Source organism: Homo sapiens, chromosome 6 (assembly GCF_000001405.40).
Source record: "Homo sapiens chromosome 6, GRCh38.p14 Primary Assembly".
In the NCBI taxonomy this organism is placed as follows: domain Eukaryota; kingdom Metazoa; phylum Chordata; class Mammalia; order Primates; family Hominidae; genus Homo; species Homo sapiens.
In genome coordinates this window covers 14,806,131-14,826,995 of record NC_000006.12, presented here as the reverse complement: position 1 = coordinate 14,826,995, position 20,865 = coordinate 14,806,131, and the positions used below count along the sequence as shown (strand labels likewise).

The following is a 20,865-nucleotide window of genomic DNA, read 5'->3' as shown; positions in this document are numbered from 1 at the left end:
GCAAATAAAATTTCTAGTAAAAGGTTGCCCATGCAATTTTTGGGACATACTTATACTAGAATAATTATTCCTTGCTCACTAGAAATTCAAAGGTCACTGGGCATCCTGTCCTGCGCCTGACAGCCCTCTCCATGATCCAAGGCTCTGGTTGGGGTGCTGATGGGCTGAGAGTTGCTGTCACCCTCCTTTTCTCCTGTTTAATCAGATCTTCTTGACACGGGACCATCTATTTCTTTTCCATAGTTTATTTTCTTCTCATTCTAAGCCTCAGCACAGCCAACATAGCCAACCACTCCTTAGCTCTGTTTACTGCGGAGTCACGTGTCTGAGTTTAGGGCAATTAACTCTGGTATTGCAGCATAGGAGGGGGCCCACACCCACCTCCCTGGCACTGAACACCAACTTAGTGGTGATCTGGCGCCAGGCACCTCATGTCATATCCACAGCAGGTCCTCAATATAATTATTTCAACCCTATGGAACAGATAAGGCTCAGGGTTTAAGTTTCTTGCTCAAAGACAGACTGTGTTTGAATCCTAAGTTTCATTTTGTTCTAAATCCCATCCTTTTCCTCCTCTCTGGGTATACCCATTCATGCCTCCTAAAGACAACTCAGGGCAGAAAATTGTAATCCATACCCATTTCTCCCTTAATATAGGACCGTTTCCCAATAGTCACAAAATGGACTAATTCCCAATGCTCTGGAAGGAATTTGCAAAGGCGGAGTCTATCTGGAGATCATGTCTGTCTTAGAAGGAAATGGAATGCTGTGCTTCTGCACTGGGGGCACCTGCTTTGATTGGAAATATTAAGATACATATGTAAGAAGCTCTTAAGGTTTGGGGGGAAGCTCACTGGGTTCTTGACCCAGTACCTTCTGGAAATATGCTGCCTTGGGCGGGGATTCTAGGAAAGAAGGCTTCCTGCTGGAAGGCAGTTTCTTTCTAGGCGGTTCCTCTGAAGCTCCGGTCCCTGGGCTTGGTTCTCCTTTCTTTGGACTCCTTTACTTTCTCCTGCCTTTTTCATTTTCTAAAGTCTCCTGCCATGTCTCTATTGAGCCTCTCTTCCTGGTCATGTTAGGAAAGCATACTCTTAGACGCCTGCTTATCTTACAGTGCTGTTTTAGGTTTAACGCTTGATAGTTCTCTCAGATACAAGAATTTAATACCACTTTAAATTGTCTATCTCTGGCAAGGTTAGGTCTATGTTGTTCTATTTATTTATTTATTTATTTTGAGACAGAGTCTTGCTCTGTTGCCCAGGCTGGAGTGCAATGGCACAATCTTGGCTCACTGCAACCTCCACCTTCTGGGTTCAAGCGATTCTCCCACCTCAGCCTCCCGAGTCTCTGGGATTACAGGCATGCACTTCCACACCTGGCTAGTTTTTGTATTTTTAGTAGAGGCAGGATTTCATCATGTTGGCCAGGCTGGTCTCAAACTCCTGACCTCAGGTGATCTGCCCACCACGGCCTCCCAAAATGCTGGGATTACAGGCGTGAGCCACCGAGCTGGGCTGGTCCATGTGGTTCTATAACTTAAAATTGTATTAGCATTTTCCTCATTTGTGCCACTGCTGTCTTCCCATAAACTATAAACCAACTAGCAGATTTCAATAGATAGGAAACTACTTAAGAGAAAAAAAAAGAAAGAAAGAAAAAAAAAAGGGGTCAGTCTTTGTCCTGATCATGGTGCAAGTTTGTTTTCCTAATGGGGAATTTTCCAAGAGCTCTTAGTGCTGGGACTTTATGGGATAAATGCGGTGGAAAGGGGCACACTTCCCGTGCAGAATGTCCTTTTTACTCTCTTCTGCTCCTCTGAGCTTTGCTTCTGAATACACAAAACCTGTATTTGTGACTGCCAAGAGGCCTTCCACTGTGAGGAAGAATGCATTGTAAATCACTCTTTCACAGCCAGTTAACAGGGAGTGTCTTTCTCACCCATAATTATGGTTTTGCTTGGAGTTGAGAAAGTTGTTTTGGGGGCAATAAATTGTGATGTCAGTTATCCTTCACTCCCTTTGCATGTGAGTCCTCAGTCGGAAATTGGTATTCTTAACAGTTGAATCTCTGGGGTCTCCAAGGCTTTGCAGCTGAAAATTTTGGAGTCCTCTGCTTTGGAAAGAGGAGAGAGAGAGGAAGGAGAGGGAAAGAAAGCAAGGGAGAGAGATTCATAGAAGGCCCTTTTGTTTTCAACTTTGGTGACAGGAAATTTGAAAGTGGGGGAAGGGAACTTGGCTCTTACTAAAAATATTTTATGTTGGAGAATGTTAATGAGGCTTTACACGAATAAAAAAAAAAATTCCAAACCTAGTGCATCAGGGTCATGACCGGGACTTTTTTCGTGTGCAAAGGCCTTTGTACACACACACCTCTTCTAAAAAGCAGCCGCGCACACACACTTGTATTACTGCTGCATCACATTGCGAAAGCTCCCCAGCAAGAAAAATTCCAGGCAGAATAAGAGAATCAGAGCTCTTCCATTCGTGGAAATTGTTAGTGGAAAACTTCATTTCCAATATCAAATTTAATATTACTGAGTGGCAGGTTATGATAAGGCCACTTTAACACTTAAAAACGAGCTGTTTCTTAAGTCTCCTCTGTGATGGTTTTATGAATTGTTATTCTGCTCTCTTTAGGTAATCAGATACGAGGAATTGTTTGGCAGCCTAGCCAGAGAGAAAAGCCTTTGCCCAGATTTTAGGCAATCCCTGGTAATTGGTGCAGCCTGCTGTGGCTGGGCCAAGCGCTTGTCCGCATCCCTCAGTATGGCTTTGGGTCTTGTATTTCCCGTGCAGAGGAGAGGTCATTCAAGTCACAGGGGCATGGCACTACTTCAGCAATCTGCTGAATGACACAGGGATTTGGCTTATTTCTATCTTATGTGTGGAGAGGGCAGAGTAGAATTGGGACAGTTTGACCCATGGAATTTCCAACTTAGGCGGCTTAGGGGTTTTAAACATGAGGCAGTAGGGCAGTGTGGGGAAGAGGATGAGCTCTTGGATCAAACCAATCCTGATTTGAGATGTGGCTCTGCATTTATTGGCTGTATCCTCTTGGGCAAGTTACTCTGCCTTTCACTTACAAATTTGTAAAACGGGCATAAAGATGCTAACACAATAGAGCTCTCTCTCTCTCCTACCTCCATATCCCAAACACCGCAAATCTGGGCAGCCCTGCCTTCCAGAGATTTCAGGAAGTTTGCAGCTTCTCCCTACTTCCTGGGCTACCACGTTGGTCCAAGTCACCCTTGTATTTCACTTTGATTATTGCATTAGTCTCTGAAGAGGTCTCCCTTCCCCGCTATACAGTAGCCGGAGTGATTTTATTTTTATTTATTTATTTATTTTTGAGACAGTCTCTCACTCTGTCACCCAAGCTGGAGTGCAGTGGCTCGATCTCGGCTCACCGTGGCCTCAACCTCCTGGGCTCAAGCAATCCTCCCGCCTCAGCCTCCCCAGTAGCTGGGACCACAGGCATGCGCCACCAAGCCCGGCTAATTTTTTTTTGTATTTTTTATAGAGATGGGGTCTCACCATGTTGCCCAGGCTGGTCTCAAACTCCTGAGCTCAAGCAATCAACAGTCTTGGCCTCCCAAAGTGCTGGAAGTACAGGCATGAGCCACCGCCACTGGCCCAGAGTAATTTTTTAAAAAGGTGAGATGGAAAGTCTCCCGTGCCTTCCCAGCTCATTCTGAATAAAGCCAGAGTCCTTACCGTGGCATAGGGGGCCCTCCTTAATCCGGCTCCTTGGTACCTGTCTGGCCTCACCACTAAACATTCTTGATCCAGCCATTTGGACCTCTTTGCTGCTCCTAGAACACAGTAAGAGTGTTCCTGGCTCAGGAAATGGTACTTGCCTGGAGTGTTCTTCCCATATATCCATCCCCAAGGCTGACACCCTCACTCCCTGCTCAAATGTCACCTGATTTGGAAGGCTCTTATTCTCCTGTATGTCTTCTGTCGTTTGAATTTCTCACCTTCCTACACACTATGCATTTCCTGCCTGTCTCCAACATGGAATGCAAGCGCCACGAGAGCAGGGTCTCTGTCAATGTTGTTTATTTATGTATCTTCAGTACCTGGAACGGTGCCCGGCTGATTAATATTTGATAAATGAATGAATCGGATGTGCTTCATTTAGTTGTTTAAAAAATTAAATGAAACCATACTTCTGAAACGCTTGGCACAGTGCCTTACACATGTTAAGAATGCAATAAATGTGAGCTATTATTATTTTTACTACAGAGTTTAGTAATAAGAAATTCACTTAGGAGTGGAAAATGGGAATTTAACTATAGTGAATTGGCAGAGCCAATTAATGGTGAGGAAATCCATCCAGGCTCCTCTGTTCGGGCTTGGGTTATCTTCATGGCTCTTCCCTGCAAGTTATTTCTTCTTTGCTCTTTTAAAGTTAATATACAAGATAGAAACTAATAATAAAAACAAGCTCAAAGGAGAGCCTAAAGCAGTTAGCTCAAAGAGGATGGGTACCCAGGGCTAAGTAAGCATCTTCAAGCAGAAGCTGAAAATACAGGTAGGCATCTTCCCTGATTGTGGTCGAGGCTTGGGTGTCTCCTGGAGGGAGGCATTGACATGGTGGATCCTGTGTCCTGTGTCTGAGAACCATGGGGGGTAACACTCTCTTTTGTATCAGTGTAACAAGCTGTGTAACAAGCCATCCCCAAGCTTAGGGACTTAAAACAACAATGCTTTGTTACTTCTCATACTTCTGTGATCAGGTAGGAGGCTCTGCTTCTCCTGCTGTGAGCTGGAGCCACTTGTTTGTCGATCTGAGAGTTGGCTGGGGGAGGGTCTGTCATGGTCTGGGGTCGAGTGTTGGCTGTCAGTGGGATACCTTGGTTCTCCTCCGTGTGACCTGTCTCCAGGCATTCTGTCATCATTTGGTAAGTAATCTAGCCTAAGCTTTTTACTTGGTGGCTGGTTTCTCAGAGAGAAAAGAGAACTAGCAAGGCCTCTTACCTAGACCTGTAAGTCACACGATGAGACTCTACTGTGTTCTACTGGTCAAAGCGAGATGCAAGTGGAGGGGAACGAGTCTGTCTCTCGCATGGCATGCTCGCTCACATGTGCACGACGTTGAGAGGATGATTGGTGGTCATCTTTGCAGGTGATCTTCCACACTCTTGAACTTGTACCAAATGATGGCTCTTGTCTTGAGCTCTCCATGAGTCTTTACTGCCTATGAGAGAGCTGGACCTCATGGCCCTCAGGTTGCAAGGCTAACAGCCTCAGTATCCAGATGTACAAAAGACCCTGACATGTGTGAGGGGCACAATTCTCTCTGCCTAAAAAAGGAAATTGTTAATTATTTGATTAGAAATTAGTCACTTGGGAGGTGTATGTTCTGTGGTCTTTTTTTTTTTTTAATTTTGAGACAGTGTCTCACTCTATTGCCCAGGCCAGTGTGCAATGGTGCGATCATGGCTCACTGCAGCCTTGAACTCCCAGGCTCAAGTGATCCTTCCACCTCAGCCTCCCAAAGTGCTGGGATTACAGGTATGAGCCACAATGCTCTGCTTCAATATTCTTTTTATTTTAGATGTCCTAAGCATTTATTGAACCCCCACCACACATCAGACCCTGGCTAGGCTTTTGAAAACATATTCCTATCACTTAATTCTCACAGTAACCCCAACAGGGTTTTTTGTTTGTTTGTTTTGTTTTGTTTTAGATAGAGTCTTACTCTGTCACCCAGGCTGGGGTGCAGTGATGTGATCTTGGCTCACTGCAACCTCTGCCTCCTGGGTTCAAATGAGTCTCCTGCCTCAGCCTCTCGAGTAGCTGGGATTACAGGCACACACCACCACACCTGGCTAATTTTTGTATTTTTAGTAGAGACAGGGTTTCACTATGTTGGTCAGGCTGCTTTCAAACTCCTGACCTCAAGTGATCTGCCCGCCTCAGCCTTCCAAAGTGCTGGGATTAGAGGCGTGAGTCACTGTGCCCAGCTCCCAGTGGGGTTTTGATGATTAAAATGGAAATTACCCCACGTTTTGAACACAAGATGTCATTTACTCAGGGTCACATGGCTGACAAAGGGCAGAGATGAGTGTCAACTTGGGCTTCTCTTACTCCACGTTGCCTGCAGGTTCCATGGCACTGCTCAGCCTCCTGTTCATCTGAATGGAGAAACTCACAAAAGAAGAATAGAGATGGGGAATGACAAAAGTACAATTTTAACCTGTTCTGTTAAAAAGAGCCGTGGATTCATTTCATTTACAAAGACGGGAATTGGCACATACATGGTCTTTTGGAGCAGAGCAGCATACACAGATATTGGCAGGATTTTGGTTTGAAGTTTCTAGAAGTTATGAACTGAATGATAAGTTTTGACTCTTGGATAGGTGTGACAGGTAAGAGTAGGCTTAGCTATGCATAATGGAAAGCTCTAGATAACCCCGGGTGTGGTGGCTCATGCCTGTAATCTCAGTCCTCTGGGAGGCCGAGGTGGGCAGATCACTTGAGGTCAGGAGTTCCAGACCAGCCTGGCCAACATGGCAAAACCCCATCTCTACTAAAATTATGAAAATTAGCCGGGTGTGGTGGCGGGCACCTGTAATCCCAGCTACTCAGGAGGCTGAGGCTGGAGAACTGCTTGAACCCAGGAGGCCGAGGTTGCAGTTAGCCGAGATCACGCCATTGCACTCTAGCCTGGGCGATAAGAGCAAAACTCCATCTCAAAAAAAAAAAAAAAAAAAAAAAAGGCAAAGCCCGCCTAATGTCATCTCAGATAAACCACAGCGTAAGTCGTTTGCTTCAGGCCAAGTGTGAAACACTGCTACGAGCTGTGACACTTTACCCCAATCCCTGCCAACAAGTAGCAGGAAACAAATGGGTCTATTTAGTATGAAATTCGTACACCTAAATCGATGAGATAAAAACCATAATGTATGACAATAGACACTATAATTACCAATGTTTGCAAAGTAAGCAATAATTGAACAGAATTGTATCACATTGTGCTTGTTGCTGTGATGGTCAAGACAAAAGGATGCATAGATTAAGTAGATATGTACTAAATGAGTTTGTGTATGTTTGGCTGAACGAGTTTTTATACGTTTGGCTTCCATATGTATACCATAAACTGATGGGATATGCAAGAGTATGAGACACCTTCTCTGTTTTCTGTGCATTAATAATTCAAGTGGGGAAAAGATGAGAGTTTAGCTAGACTTTGGAACGGGAGTAGGATTTGAGTAGAGAGGAGGGAAGTAGAAGGGACGTGGCCCAGGTAGAGCCTTGGAGTTGACAAAAACATTCACATCTGTGGTCCAGGCTGGAGACAAGCAGCCTGGCTGGAGTAGAAGGGAAAAGTGGGAGGTAGAGCTGGCTGGCAGGGTCATGTGCAATGATAATGGCCTTAAAGGCCGGGATAATGAACTTTGTTCTATCAGCAGTGAGGATCAATGGGATATCTCAGAGCAGGAGAATGAAGAGAAAAATACAAAGCTGAGGATTAATATGAGCCTTGGAGATGGATCATTCTGCTCCTGCTTTTAGAAGAGGAGCAGTAAAGGAGGCAGAAGGGAAATACCCAGGTAGGAATAAACCCATGAGGGCAATGCCATAGAAATAAAATTGGTGACATTCGAGGGGTGGAGGTGCTGATGGGTGTTACCAAATTGTGAAATGAAAAGTGAGAAAAGATTATTACTGGATGGGGCCAAAGATTACTGCTGACAATTGAGAGCTTGCAGCTCCAGGAATGCGAGGAGGTGTGGGCCGGATTGCCTGAGGGTAAGGAAGGCAAGAGTGTGAGGAAAGGGATGGGTAGAGATGACTTGAGCCAAAGGTTGTCTGAGAAGGAAGGAGGGAAGCAGCTCAGAGGGCCTTCCCCCCATGCCCATGCCTGAAATGAAGAGAACAGAAGGGCCACGGCTCTAGCAAGGGCTGGGATACAGATGCAGAGAAGGAATGGTCATGGAAGGGAAGTCCCTTGGGATCTAATGCCTAAGAGGAGGGCTGGCTGTCCTGAGAGATGAGAAAGTCTTCTGTGCTTCTGGGGAGGAACCATGACAAGATGGGCATGGTCAGCAGAGGGAGAAGCTCAGACTGGAGCTGGAGGCAAGTGTCAGGTTTGGAGAAAGCACTGGAGCTCCCAGGGCAGGGTGCTGGGGGTGGGCAGGGGTCAAGCGACCAGAGTACAGCAGAGAGCTTTCTGCTGAACACGTGTCTTGGATTGGGAGCAGAGCTGTGTGCCTGACTGTTTCTTCACCAGGGCCCTTTCACCTCGGTAGGAGTGGAGAGATAAGTGTGAACTTGGCCTAGATTGGTGACTGGCACATCAGACTTGGCAAGGCCCCAAGGAGACAAAGGAATCCCTGGGCAATGTGCCTCTGGGAGGGCAAGGGCCGAGTGGGAGGTTCCCGTCCCATTTCTTTGTAGAAAGGGTCCCAGAATGCATATTTAGTCATCATATTGTAAACGTTTCCAGGTGACCGTTTTATTTCACAACAGCAGATGGTGAAAATAGGGTTGGTTCTCTTTGGCCGCTTTGATTATATGGCACATGTTAAGTACGGTTGTGCGTTGCTTAACAACAGGGATGCATTCAGAGAATTGTGTTGTTTGGTGATCTTGTCAATGTGCAAACATCATAGAGTCTACTTACATAGACCTAGACAGTATAGCCCACTATACCGAGGTAGATGATATAACCTACTATACCTAGGCTAGATGGTATAGACTATTGCTTCTAGGCTACAGACAATAGAAGGTGGAATTGCCAGGTAAGTACACCTGTAGACACCTGTGCTCACCTCCTGCCCCTTTCCTCCTGCATTGTGAGAACATCACAGAGTGAACTTACACAAACCTAGATGGCATAGCCTACTATACCCAGGCTAGATGGTACCTATCACTCTAGGCTACAAACCTTACAGCAGGTTACTATACTGAATGCTGTAGGCATCTGGAACACAGTGGCAAGTACTTGTTTATCTAAATATAGAAAAGGTGAAAATATGATATTAGAATCCTATGGGACCACTTTCATTTATGCAGTCCCTCATTGACTGAAAGGCCCCTGTGCAGCGTGACTGGTACTAAAGCGACTACGTGGGGATGGGGGGTGGCCATAAATAGCTTGCTGCAGCCCCGCGGCTGATGGTCGCGGTGCACCTCATGGTCTGCTCGTTTGGACTGCAGCATCTCTTCTTGTTCTTTCTTCCATCCCATTTGAGACCTTGACCCACAGGACCTCCTGGGCGTTTTTATATCATCAAAGTGGCTTTGGCTCCAGGCAAAAGCAAGCCCCTAGATGCAGGAGGTGCCTTTTAAAGGCCATGTGACTATCAGTGCTTGTACGTCCTGGGCAACTGCGAGGGGGTACGCGGGCAGTCTCATGGCAGCCAAGTGAAATCCTCCAGACGCTCTGGCTTCCGGCTGACTTTGAGATAAAATAAATAATAGAGACGGAGGGGAGAAAACTGCAGAGGGTGGAACCTCCAGGTAAGTATACCTGGAGACACCTGTGCTCACCTCCTGCCCCTTTCCTCCCACTCCATCTGTCCTCTTACCAGGAGAGGCATAAACAGAACACATTTGTTTCTCAAACCTTATGACATAGTTACTTTGTCACACCGGGCACATTTGCTGAGGGCAGGTGGGTCAGAGTTCACGGTTGCCTGATGGAGGCCCTCTGTTCTGTTCTGGATGTGAAGCGTCTGTGCCAAGACTGAGCAAAAGTCCTCCTGACTTCCCTGCCTGAGAGCAGTCTGACCTCATCTCCCCTTCCCTGGGTTGACCTCTTAAGAGCAGGAGCTTCACTTGTTTGTGTTTTCACAGGATACACTGATTACTAAATGAGGCGGAGAGTGCCGAGTGAGGAGACCATTAATCTCCAAAGCAAGCCTCAAACTGCAGCCAGGAGCTCTTGGGAGCAAAGGGTACCTGTGCTTCACTGGAGACTTGATTCCTGAGATCTGGGGTTACCCGAAAGCTGAGTGTCATCTTCCTTCAGAGCACAGAACTCTCTGGCTTATACGTGGCATTCAGTCCACATTGTCTCCAGGAATCCAGCCTTGGTTTATTCTGTGCAGCTAGAAGGTGGGGTGTTAGAAACACAAGCTGTTAGGTTTGGAAAAATACGATCTTTCTTTCTTAACCCCTGTGTGAGATCCTCTTGAGAATTCCAGGTGGGTCCCACAAGGGATGACCTTGAATACTCATAAAATACTGCTTTTATGAGATTTCCCTGGAACCCACAGGTTGAGATGAACAGTGCCATGAACGATAAGATGGAAGGTTAGGAGTTAGTGTTACCCAAGGCTCGGCCTCCATCTGCTGGGTGACCTTGAACAAATCCCCTTACTCACTGGCTCTGGAGTTGGAATGTGGGCTGATAGCGCAGTCTGGCTGGTGGAGAGCACAGAGGTGTGGTGAGGCTGGTGGAGGTCCCTTCTGTAAAGGGCTGTGAACTCCTTGCACAGAAAAGCAATAAGCAATGCTCAATTATCAGTGAACATTGAACATCATAAACAATGTTCAATTATCAATGTTCAATTATGGCGTAATTGTTCCTTTAGGTTCTGCCAGAGCCCAAAGACCTCTTATGAGTTCCCGTCTCAGAGTATAAAGCATTGCACAAGAATTCCAGCTCCCCCCACCCCCAGGCTCTCTGTGAGTCGCTCCCAGTATCGCACAAGCTCTGGTTTTTGTGTCGGTGGATGTTTAATTGGATTTATCTTGGTCTGGGTTAGGCCGGATGAAGTCAACTAGCCAACAAATCCTCGATTGTTTCTGAGGAGAAGAGGAGGTTCACAGGCGGTTCTCTAACCACTTAATTACCCTCAGTTGCAGGAAAACGAAGCCTGGATTTGAATAGGGTATTTGCATATCTACACAGCTTTCCTTCTGTCCACTTTCCCCCAAACCCTCAGAAGGCTCCTGCTGCACAGCCTGTCAGATGTTAGAAGCCTTTTTTAAATGTCCTTGGCTAGAAAACAATGGTTATTAAGAAGCCGTAACTTTTTCTATTTTTATTTCGGTTTGGTTCTGTGTTTAATGAGTTAGGTCTGTCTTGCTACTCATTTTTTAAAATCTCTCTCTTATATCTCTTATATGCACACTCCTTATTTTTTTTCAGGTTCTCTTGCTTCAGATATCAAAAGCTAGCTGTTGATTGTACTCAATCTTGATCCAGAACAATACTAGGCTAAATAACTTTTGTTGCCCTTTGTCCATCTCTCATCTATACAAGAAAGGCTATGTCTGGAGCAGGTTTCCCCATTCCGTCTTCCCCACCAACTAGAAGAATTCTTTTTATGGTCCTTTCTACAGTCAGCACTGCATGAAGAGTGGAGATCTCAGACTGGTGCCATTACCTGTCCTATTCTAAACAATGAGAGTTATTTTTCAGAGAAAAAGAATCCTGTGGCATTGTCTCTTCTTTCCCGCAATTCTGACTCCAAGGCTGTGCAGATCTTTGCCATCTCCCTGCGTTGCTAAAACCAGTGTTGGTAACTCCCCGGCCTGATCTATTGCCCTCTGTGCACGAGGCAGGAACTACTTCCAACAGTGATTTAGCCTCGTTCCTGACGTTACTTTTTGGGTCACAAGAAGATGGCATGTTCTATTTCTATGTCCCCTAGATATTTCTTCTCCTTCAAGCTACTCCAAGCCTTTTCATTTATTTGGCCACAAAAACGCTTCGAAAGAGGAGCCTGTAATCATGGCCTCCTTTTCCCCTCCTCCCTTTCTCTCATCATTTCGCTCTGGTTTTTGCCTCTGCCACTTGCCTGCAACTGCTTTGGCAAAACTCAGTGAGGACCTCATTACCAATTTGGTTACTTGGTGAGGGGCCCCTAACCTGGGGGCTCGGAATTTGGATGGGGAAAATACTTTATTTTCACTAACCTCTGACTGAAATTTACTATTTCCTTCAATTATGAATGTAGGCAACAAACCATGGTAGTGTCAATAATATCTACAGATATTTCCATATCACATTACAGTTGTATTGCAGGTATCTTAAAGCCCTGTTTTCCTTCATCACTACTGAGAAATTACATTGTTTTGTGGACCTCCTGATTGATCTTGTTACCTAAGGCATTAATAATGCAACTCATATATGACTATAGTATGATCTTTTAATATTTCAGTAACTGTAAGTAGTTTTATTTATTACTGTATGTATTGTCTTTTATATATTTAATAATATTCTTTTGAGAAGGGGTCCATAGGCTTCACTAGACTACTAAAGAGGTCTATGGTACAAAAAAAGGGCAAAGAAACTCAGTTTTTTTATCACTGGTACCTGATTTCTCTAGAGTGTTTCTCTTATAATGAGAAGAGCCTCCTACTAAAAATTATTTTCTTCTTTGCTCAAATGATACCACTCCTTTGCTCCTCTGTTTTTCATTACTGTTTCCCAGATCTTTTACTAGTTCTTTCTCAGTTCATTTCTCACATTTAAGATTCTCTCAGGATTCTATTCCTTTCCCCGGTTCCTTCCCTTTCCCTCCCTCCCTCCAGCCCTCCCTCCCTCCCTCCCTCTCTTCCTTCTTTCTCTTCTTCCTTCCTTCCTTCTCTCCTTCTTCCTTCCTTCCTTCCTTCCTTCCTTCCTTCCTTCCCTCCCTCCCTCTCTCCCTCCCTCCCTTCCTTCCTTCCTTTCTCTCCCTCTTTCACAAATATTCATTGAGTTCCTACTCTTATGTCACTGACATTCCTGTGGGGACAACAGACAAATAAATAGGCTATTACAATGTAGTCTGATGATACTTAGGGGACACTTAGGAGAAATACGTAACCCAGCCTTGGGAGTTGGGAAAGACTTCTCACTGGAGGTCACCTCAAGTTAAGTCCTGGAGAACCACGTGAAGTTGGCTAGGCTTGGTGGTGGGAACAGAGGGTGGCTACAAAGGACTGGATGGGTGGTTAAATGAGGCTGGAGAGGGAAGAGGTAGCCAGACTGTGGAGCTTTCTAAAGCATGCTGAAAGCAGCTACCAAAGGGTTTTAGGAGAACTGAGTTGAGAAACATTGCTGTGGCTTAAAGTACAGAATGGATTGGAGGGGAAGCCTGGAACTGAGAGACAAGCTAAGACCCTGAGAAACCCTACCCTTTGCTCATTCTGGAATGCATCACATGTGTCCACCCTGTGCTCGTGCTTTCCTCTGCCGGATAAGCTCTTCCACTGTACCTGATGCTCCTGAATAGCTGTGATTAACCTTCAGGATTCTCTCTTTAGAGTTCCCTGACTCTTTGGCTACATTTTTGGGCAACACTTAGAGTTATCTTTTACGCATCTGTTTCTTACCTCTTCTTTGAGTTACTTGAGGACAAGGACTGGGGCTTGCTTGTCTTCATATCTCTAGCACCTAGAATATTGCTGGACCCATAGTGGGTTCTCTGAATTGAGCCAGATGCAGGTAGGGAAAGTGCAACAAGATTAGAAAATTCGACAACAGTCACATAGCAAAGAGAGCCTGAGAAATCCCTCAGAGATGTCCACAGAATCATTACATCTCAGGATAAGAAAGTCATCTAGTTGTCTTTTTTTTTTTAATATAAACACTTTGTTTTGATATAAGAGAAATATTTATACCTCCTCTACCAACATCAGCCCATCATTGGGTGTTGCCAGAATTCAAAGACATTTTAACAGGACTGGAGTTTTTGCTTTTAGAAAAATGGATCCTATGGCCTTCTTTTGTTTTTAGTGGAGAAGAGAGATTTCCCCCCAGGATGATACAGAAGAGGCTAACTAAAAAAAAAAAAAAGAAAAGAAAAGAAAAAAGAAAATGGGCTAAATCTCAGCCAAGGAAAATGATAGGTTGAAAGCCAGAACCTCCGGGAAACTGACCCAGTGGTGGAGTGTGTTTGTCTGTGGCCCACTCTTTGAGATGGGGGTCGGAGGCGATGGCAGCCCTATTGTAGAGATTTCCCCATGAAGCTGGACAAAGCCCTTGAGCTGCTTTGATCATCGGCAGAGGAATGGACGGGGTGGCCCCTTGCGCAGCTTCCAGCCTGGATCTCCGGTTCTAGGTGACACAGAGGAAAAAGCAAGGCACAGACTGTATATTTTATTCCTGTGGGCACTTGCTGTGCTTCCCAGCTTTTCTCCATGATCAAAATGGAAAAAATGTTAATGGTTTTCTATGCAGGGAGCAGCCAGACACCAGAGCACCCTGGGAGTTGAAAGGAACATCATAAAGATCACAGGTCACTCCTTAAACTTCCTGTGACTGCACGTATGGGGAGAAAGGGCTGCTGGTTGGCTGGGAGGGATGATCATATATAATGGACTCTTATTGCCTAGTGGGGAGACCTTTGATCAAATATCAAAACCATGCTTCTTCCCATTTTTTCGAAAAGCAGAAATAAATTGCCCGGTGTGGTGGCTCATGCCTGTAATCCCACACTTTGGGAGGCCGAGGCAGGTGGATTGCTTGAGCCCAGGAGTTCGAGACCAGCCTGGGCCACATAATGGGACCCCATCTCTACAAAAAATACAAAAAAAATTAGCTGGGTGCACGCCTGTGGTCCCAGCTACTCGGGAGGCTGAGTGTGGAGGATTGCTTGAGCCCAGGCTGCAGTGAGCTATGATCTTGCCACTGTACTCCAGCCTGGGTAACAAAGTGAGACCCTGGCTCTTAATAAATAAAGAAATAAATAAATAAAGTAAAATAAAAACTTCCTCTGAAGATACTAAAAATAAACAAAGATACTCCTGATGGTGAGTTAGGGAAGCCCTGTTTACATTTGACAAGTACTTCCGTAAGGTTTTTACATAATCTTACCTTAGCCAGATTTTGGCAGGGAAACGTTGCTTAGTTCTTGTCTGGACTAACTGGTATTGGAAGTTTTGTAAAGCAAGTTGTTGAACTCCGTAGATTAGAAAAATAGAGAGTTACAGTTTTTGAGGGAGCAAGAAAGAAAGGGATAAAAGTCATACTTTAAGGAATTTAGGCCTCAGATTGGACACTGTTCAATGTTCTATGTTGGTTTTCAGGCACTTTTCTGGCTTTTTATCACTGCAACTGTTGAAAAGTCGACATCGCAAAGGTATGATGTCATTGAAAGGAATGAAGCACTAGCTAGTGATGAAGCTGTGGGCTAGTAGTACTATGCGAATGGTTGGATAGATCTGAGCTAGAAGTAGATCGAACTGGTAGTTCATGCACAGTCTGATAATGTTGAGTGTTGTGTGTTTTCTTCAAATTTAAAATATCCTCCTGGACATGGTGGCTCATGCCTGGCCCTTTGAGAGGTCAAGATGGGAGGACTGCTAGATGCCTAAAGTTCAAGACCAGCCTGGGCAATGTAGTGCGACCCCGTCTCTATAAAAAATAAAAAAGTTAGCTGGGCATAGTAGTGCATGCCTGTAGTCCCAGCTACTCAGGAGGCTGAAGTGGGAGGATTGCTTGAGCCTAGAAGGTAGAGGCTACACTGAGCCGTGATCAGGCCACTGCACTCCAGCCTGGGTAACAGAACGAGATCCTGTCTCTAAAAGAAAAAAAAAATTAAAAACCCTGTAGTACCAGTTTCAGTTTGTTGTGGCTCCTTGGGGCATCTGTCTCTGCACAGTTAGGAATTTAGCATTACAATGAAACAGGCAGGCTGGGAATATTGTAGAAAACTAGAAAAGAAGAAAATAAATGCAGACCAAAGGAATCAACGAAAACAAAATCTTCAAAACTTGTCTATGTTTGCCAAGTTCGTAAGACAGAAGCTCTTGAAGGCAGTAAACTGTAGAAACATAATCTATGAGGGCTAGAGGAAGTGGACAGAAGGTTTAAAGCTGTGATTAGACACTAGCCACATGTGCCTATTTCAATTTAAATTAATTGAAATGAAATAACATGAAAAATTCAGTTCTTCAGTCACACTAACTACATTTCAACTGTGCAGTGGTCACGGTGCAGACAGAAGCATTTCCATCGTTACGGAAGGGGCTGCTGGACGGCGCTGGTCTGCACTGCAGCTGGGTCAGCAGCTACATCCCAGGAGCCAAAGCCAGCTGGCTGCCTCTTTTTGTGTGGCCCATGAGGGAACAATGGTTTTTTTTAATTACATTTTTGGGTTTTTGTTTTTGTTTTAGACCAAGTCTCACTCACTCTGTTGCCCAGGCTGGAGTGCAGTGGCACAATCTCGGCTCACTGCAACCTCCGCTTCCCAGCTTCCAGTGATTCTCCTGCTTCAGCCTCCTGAGTAGCTGGGACTATAGCATCTGCCACCACACTCAGCTAATTTTAGTATTTTTAGTAGAGATAGTGGTTTTGGTATGTTGGTCAGGCTGGTCTTGAACTCCTGGCCTTGAGGGATCTACCTACCTTGGCCTCCTAATGTGCTGGGATTACAGGTGTGAGTCACTGTGCCCAGCCAGTTTTTATTATATTTTTAAATAGTTGAAAAATCTTGTGGAAATGTATTTTCTTTCCTGTTGTATAAGTACCTACAAATACCCTTGTTTTTGCCTCTTGGTCCACAAAGCCTAAAATACAATAGGACCTTTCCAGATAACGTTTGCCAGTTCCTTCCTGGTCTAAAGCATCTTCAAACTACAGTGGAGGAAACAGGCCTAGAGACAGACAGTAACCTGCGGTGGATCGCGCAGCCTGGGAAAGGACAGTCTCAAACCAGGCTTTTGTGGAACCTGCTCCTTTCCTGCGCCCTGGGCTCTTTCCTTCTGAAGGCCTCTGTTTCCATTCACCCAGCAGATAAAACAATGGGTTCCTTTAGCTGCATCATGAACTTGAGAAGGGAGTTCAACTACTGGAGGAGACCTTGATCATCCTTCCTTTATGAGTCTGTCGCAGGGAGGACAGGGAGGATCAGATGACCACAGCCACGTGTTCACAAAGGGCCTCAGATGTAGACGCTGGGATTCTCTTCACATGGGATTATAGACAGGAAAACAAGCAGATGGAGTAAAAGACAGCTGTCATCATGCAAAACTCGTGTTCCTCCGTCAGACCACACTGCCTGTAATGATCTATGAATTAATATTTTAAAAATCTTTTAATTATCTTGTGATTAGTACCCAGTACGTTGCACTATATTCAAGTTGTGAGTTAAAAGCATTAATGTGTCAAATGTAAGCACTTAAAACATACTGCATTTTAAATAAGCCTGTTGGACATTTCTTCTTTTTAATTTTTGTTTTTAAAAATATACTAACATCCATGGTGAGACCCTATCTCTACAAAAAATACAAACAATACCTGGGTGTGGTGGCACACACCTGTAGTCCCAGCTACCCAGGAGGCTGAGGTGGGAGGATCATTTGAGCCTGGGGAGGTCGAGGCTGCAGTGAACTGTGATCGCGTCATTGCACTCCAGCCTGGGCAGCAGAGCAAGACCCTGTCTCAAAAACAAACAAACAAAAAACAAACTGTATATGTATATATTTTTGATATATATAGCATATATAGCATATATCATGTATATGCTATATGTCATATGTATCATATCTATATGTATCATATATAATATATATCTATATATATCATATACAGCTCATATAGATACATATACTAACATCTCCCAAAATGAAAGTGGCTTGAGTGACCCTGAAGATGTGCTCTCTTAAGCAGTAATGTATTTAAACATCTAGTTTAGATTGTCCACAGAATAGCTGGGTTCCAGAAAGGAGTTACAGTACAACCTAGAGTCCATTCTCATTATTCACCGGTTGTGTATTTGCAAATTTGCCTACTTGCTGATATGTATTCGCAATCTCCGAATCAATACTCTTGGTGTGTTCACAGTCATTTACAGACATGCTCAGAGTGGGGACAATTTTCAGTTGCCCAGTGGGCATGTTCCCAGCCGAGGTGCAACAAGACCTCACTCTGCCTTCCTGTTTCAGCTTTCATCCTGTAAACACGTGTTTTTCCTATGATTTATTTGGTGCTGCATTTTTCACATTTTCGTGCTTTTTATGGTCATTTTCCTGTTTAACGTGGCCTCCATGTGTGGTTCTGAAGAGCTGTCTAGTGTCCCTAAGTGCCAGAAGGCTGTGATATGCCCTACAGAGAAGACGCGTGTGTTGGGTAACCTTCCTTTAGGCATGAGTTATAGTGCTGCTGGGCATGTGTTCGATGTTCATAAATCAACAATATATGTTAAATAAGGTGTCTTTAAACAGAAACACACATATAAAAGGTCACACATTGCTCAGTTGGTAAGAATGTTCTAATTAAATGCTCACAGCAACCTAACCTGTCTTTTCCCTAGGAGCAATGGTTCAGTATTCACTAATTCAGTGTTCCGGGTAGAACAGAACTACCTCACGTAACAAGTACCAACTATGTTTGTAAGACACAAGATCTTGCTGAGCTAAGAAGCCTGTGAACCCCTCAGTGTGCACCTTTTCCAGGACAGCTTGCCTGGGCTGGCTTAAGTGTCCACCTTGTATTTGAACTGAAGGGAGTCTAATAGTTGGCAAAGTAATACACAGACTGCCCCCTTCACAGGGATAGCTAGAATTCATTTCTCTAAGTGGCAGGGATTCCTGACCATCCTAACTGGAGCCCTTATGCTAAGGCTGAGCTCTTACAGCCAATTTGCGGCATTGTCTGGTGCTACTGAAACCCACCCAAGAGTCCCATAGAAAGGTGTTTTTGGATAAACATAGAAATTGAACTTTCTGGTCTTAAAGCTTGAAACCCAAATTTGTTTTATCTGAGTTCCTTCCTTGGGAAGGGATCCCTAGACCTCTCAAAAAGTATCAAATAACTGAAACTCACCAGATTCTCCCATCCAGACAGTGAAATGCCAGACTCCTCATTTATCGTGATTGTTTCCTTCTGTTTTCTTAGACATTGTTACCTTTCTTCCTGCTATATAAACTCCCAGTTTCAGAGGGTCAGGGAGACGGATTTGAGACTGAGCTCCCATCTCTTCATTGGCAGCACCTGATTAAAGCCTTCTTCCTGGCAATACTCATGATGTCAGCGACTGGCTTTCTGTGCGGCGAGCAGCAGGTCCTAGACCAAACCCCTGGTGTTTTGGTAACACGACTTACTTATTCTCTCCATGCCCCAGCCGGGTAGTAAAATGAGACTATCAGGACTGACTTAATTCACAGGCAGGTCAAGTGGAAGATCAAGTTGATCATGAAGGTCCCTTTGGCTGTATTACAACCATATAGGTTTGAATATTTTGGGGGGCTTTATTCTCCACCTGGAAATTACAGGGTGCACCAGATAGAAATGGATTCATTGAATCCAGGGTAGAGTGATTGAGGTGAAGGTATACTAAGAATTTCTTGTCTCTTGGGGAAGCCAGGACCACAAGAAAAATATCTGAAGGGAAGGAGCTAGTAAGGCAATCCATCTATCGATCGTTCAGGATTTCTTGTTTAGAATTCAACAGGTAGATGTCTGGTGGGACCACCACTGTTTTGGAAGCCTGCGGGTGTTTTAGACTGAGCAACGAGCACAGGCTAAGGCTTTGATGGACGTTCTAAGGAGGTTTCTTTTAAAATTTCTTTTCCTCTTTAAAGGGGGAAAAGGTTCCTTGAGGTTATTGAGAGCACCAGGGCTTCTTTCTGAACTCTTCAGAACATATATGAAAAATGAAGCTTGAGCGTTTCTCCCTATTTGGCTGTCTTCCTGGAGTCAGCTTTATCAGAACTCTAACTCATCGGTGTCATCACTGCCTTCTAATTGTACACTGTTTTCCGTGGCGTCTTCTGAACTAGCATCAGGTTTTCATCAAACATGGAAGTGTTCTTATCAGGGGAATGCCACATTCTGAAATCTCTGGAAGGGGTGTGTGTGTGTGTGTGTGTGTGTGATGTGTGTTTTCATGAGATTGTGGAAGACACCCCATGCAAATCCCAGACAGATCTGCCTGAGCTCGAGAACCCTAGGGCCTACCCCGGGGGGGCTCCATCTGTCCCGGCAAAAGCAACACCTGCCATGTAGTGCTCATCACTTCCCTTGCCCCATTACCCAGGTTAGCTTCCTATCATGTTAGTGGAACCCAGCCTCCCCCATTGCCCAAGCTCTCTTCTCTTATCCTCCGCTTCCAATACATTCCTGAATCTTGTGTAAAGAGAGCCTGCCTCCCAATTATCCCTGTATTTATGCATCCCTTCTGCCCATGTCTTACCTCTGACTCTGACATTTTTTTACTTGCCCATTTCTAAAGCCTCCAACTGTTTCTTTTCCCAGACCTGTCTCTTTTTCCATCAGAGTGTTCAAGGCTCTTCCTGATGAAAGCCTTGTGCTGACCCCTCATGGCCTTCAGGATAAAGTCTAAGCAACCCTGCACAGGAGATGAGGCTCTGCAGGATCCCACCTCCCTCTTCCCAATCCCCAACTTGTGTGGCAAAGCTCAGGTCTCCTTGATGTTGTCTGCACTGGTCCTTGTGTTCAGAATGTCCTTCCCAACTTTAAGAGGCTCTCATTTTGTCTTTAAGATCCAGCTCTGGGATCTCACCTTTCTCCAGGTAGATGATAATAAAAATATTTAACAACCTGTCTGATTGGGTTCTGAGCAGTTAGAACAGATGCCATGGATAACTACTGGTGTGGCCTTGCTTGAGCATGCCAGGAAACTGTCATCTGGGTCTACCCCACCAAGCAGGGTTGATCCTGCCCTGCTTTGCTGCACCACTGTATGTGTGGAGGCACACATTTTTCACCCTGTATTCATTCAACAGACATTTAATAATTGCCTACTCTGCTTAGACCCTGGCTAGATGACGGCAGTACAAGAATAAATGAGACAGTGTTTCTGCCCCTGAGGTGTCTGTGGTCTAGACATAGAGCTTTTGTTTTTCTCCTTATGTGATCATCTATAAAACTATGAGCTCCTTGGAGGGTGGGGACCAACTCTCTCACCTTGGCATCTTTGGTACCTGCCTGTACCTGGCATGTAGCATCCTCAGTCCG

At 44.8% G+C, this 20,865-nt stretch overlaps 5 annotated features.

Moving 5' to 3' along the window:
• Positions 1,689-2,475: an enhancer, noted in NCBI's record as "NANOG-H3K27ac-H3K4me1 hESC enhancer chr6:14824752-14825538 (GRCh37/hg19 assembly coordinates)". NCBI's record gives its function as "activates a minimal SCP1, AML or CMV promoter by ChIP-STARR-seq in naive H9 embryonic stem cells {active_cell/tissue: H9 hESC(naive)}" and the evidence as "EXISTENCE:reporter gene assay evidence [ECO:0000049][PMID:30033119]".
• Positions 3,263-4,050: an enhancer, noted in NCBI's record as "NANOG-H3K27ac-H3K4me1 hESC enhancer chr6:14823177-14823964 (GRCh37/hg19 assembly coordinates)". NCBI's record gives its function as "activates a minimal SCP1, AML or CMV promoter by ChIP-STARR-seq in primed H9 embryonic stem cells {active_cell/tissue: H9 hESC(primed)}" and the evidence as "EXISTENCE:reporter gene assay evidence [ECO:0000049][PMID:30033119]".
• Positions 4,421-4,922: an enhancer, noted in NCBI's record as "NANOG hESC enhancer chr6:14822305-14822806 (GRCh37/hg19 assembly coordinates)". NCBI's record gives its function as "activates a minimal SCP1, AML or CMV promoter by ChIP-STARR-seq in naive H9 embryonic stem cells {active_cell/tissue: H9 hESC(naive)}" and the evidence as "EXISTENCE:reporter gene assay evidence [ECO:0000049][PMID:30033119]".
• Positions 6,070-6,149: an enhancer, noted in NCBI's record as "active region_24056". NCBI's record gives its function as "activates an Ori minimal core promoter by ATAC-STARR-seq in GM12878 lymphoblastoid cells {active_cell/tissue: GM12878}" and the evidence as "EXISTENCE:reporter gene assay evidence [ECO:0000049][PMID:35858748]".
• Positions 7,664-7,958: a silencer, noted in NCBI's record as "tiled region #9195; HepG2 Repressive non-DNase unmatched - State 22:ReprW, and K562 Repressive non-DNase unmatched - State 23:Low". NCBI's record gives its function as "represses a minimal TATA promoter and a strong SV40 promoter by Sharpr-MPRA in HepG2 and K562 cells {active_cell/tissue: HepG2 | K562}" and the evidence as "EXISTENCE:reporter gene assay evidence [ECO:0000049][PMID:27701403]".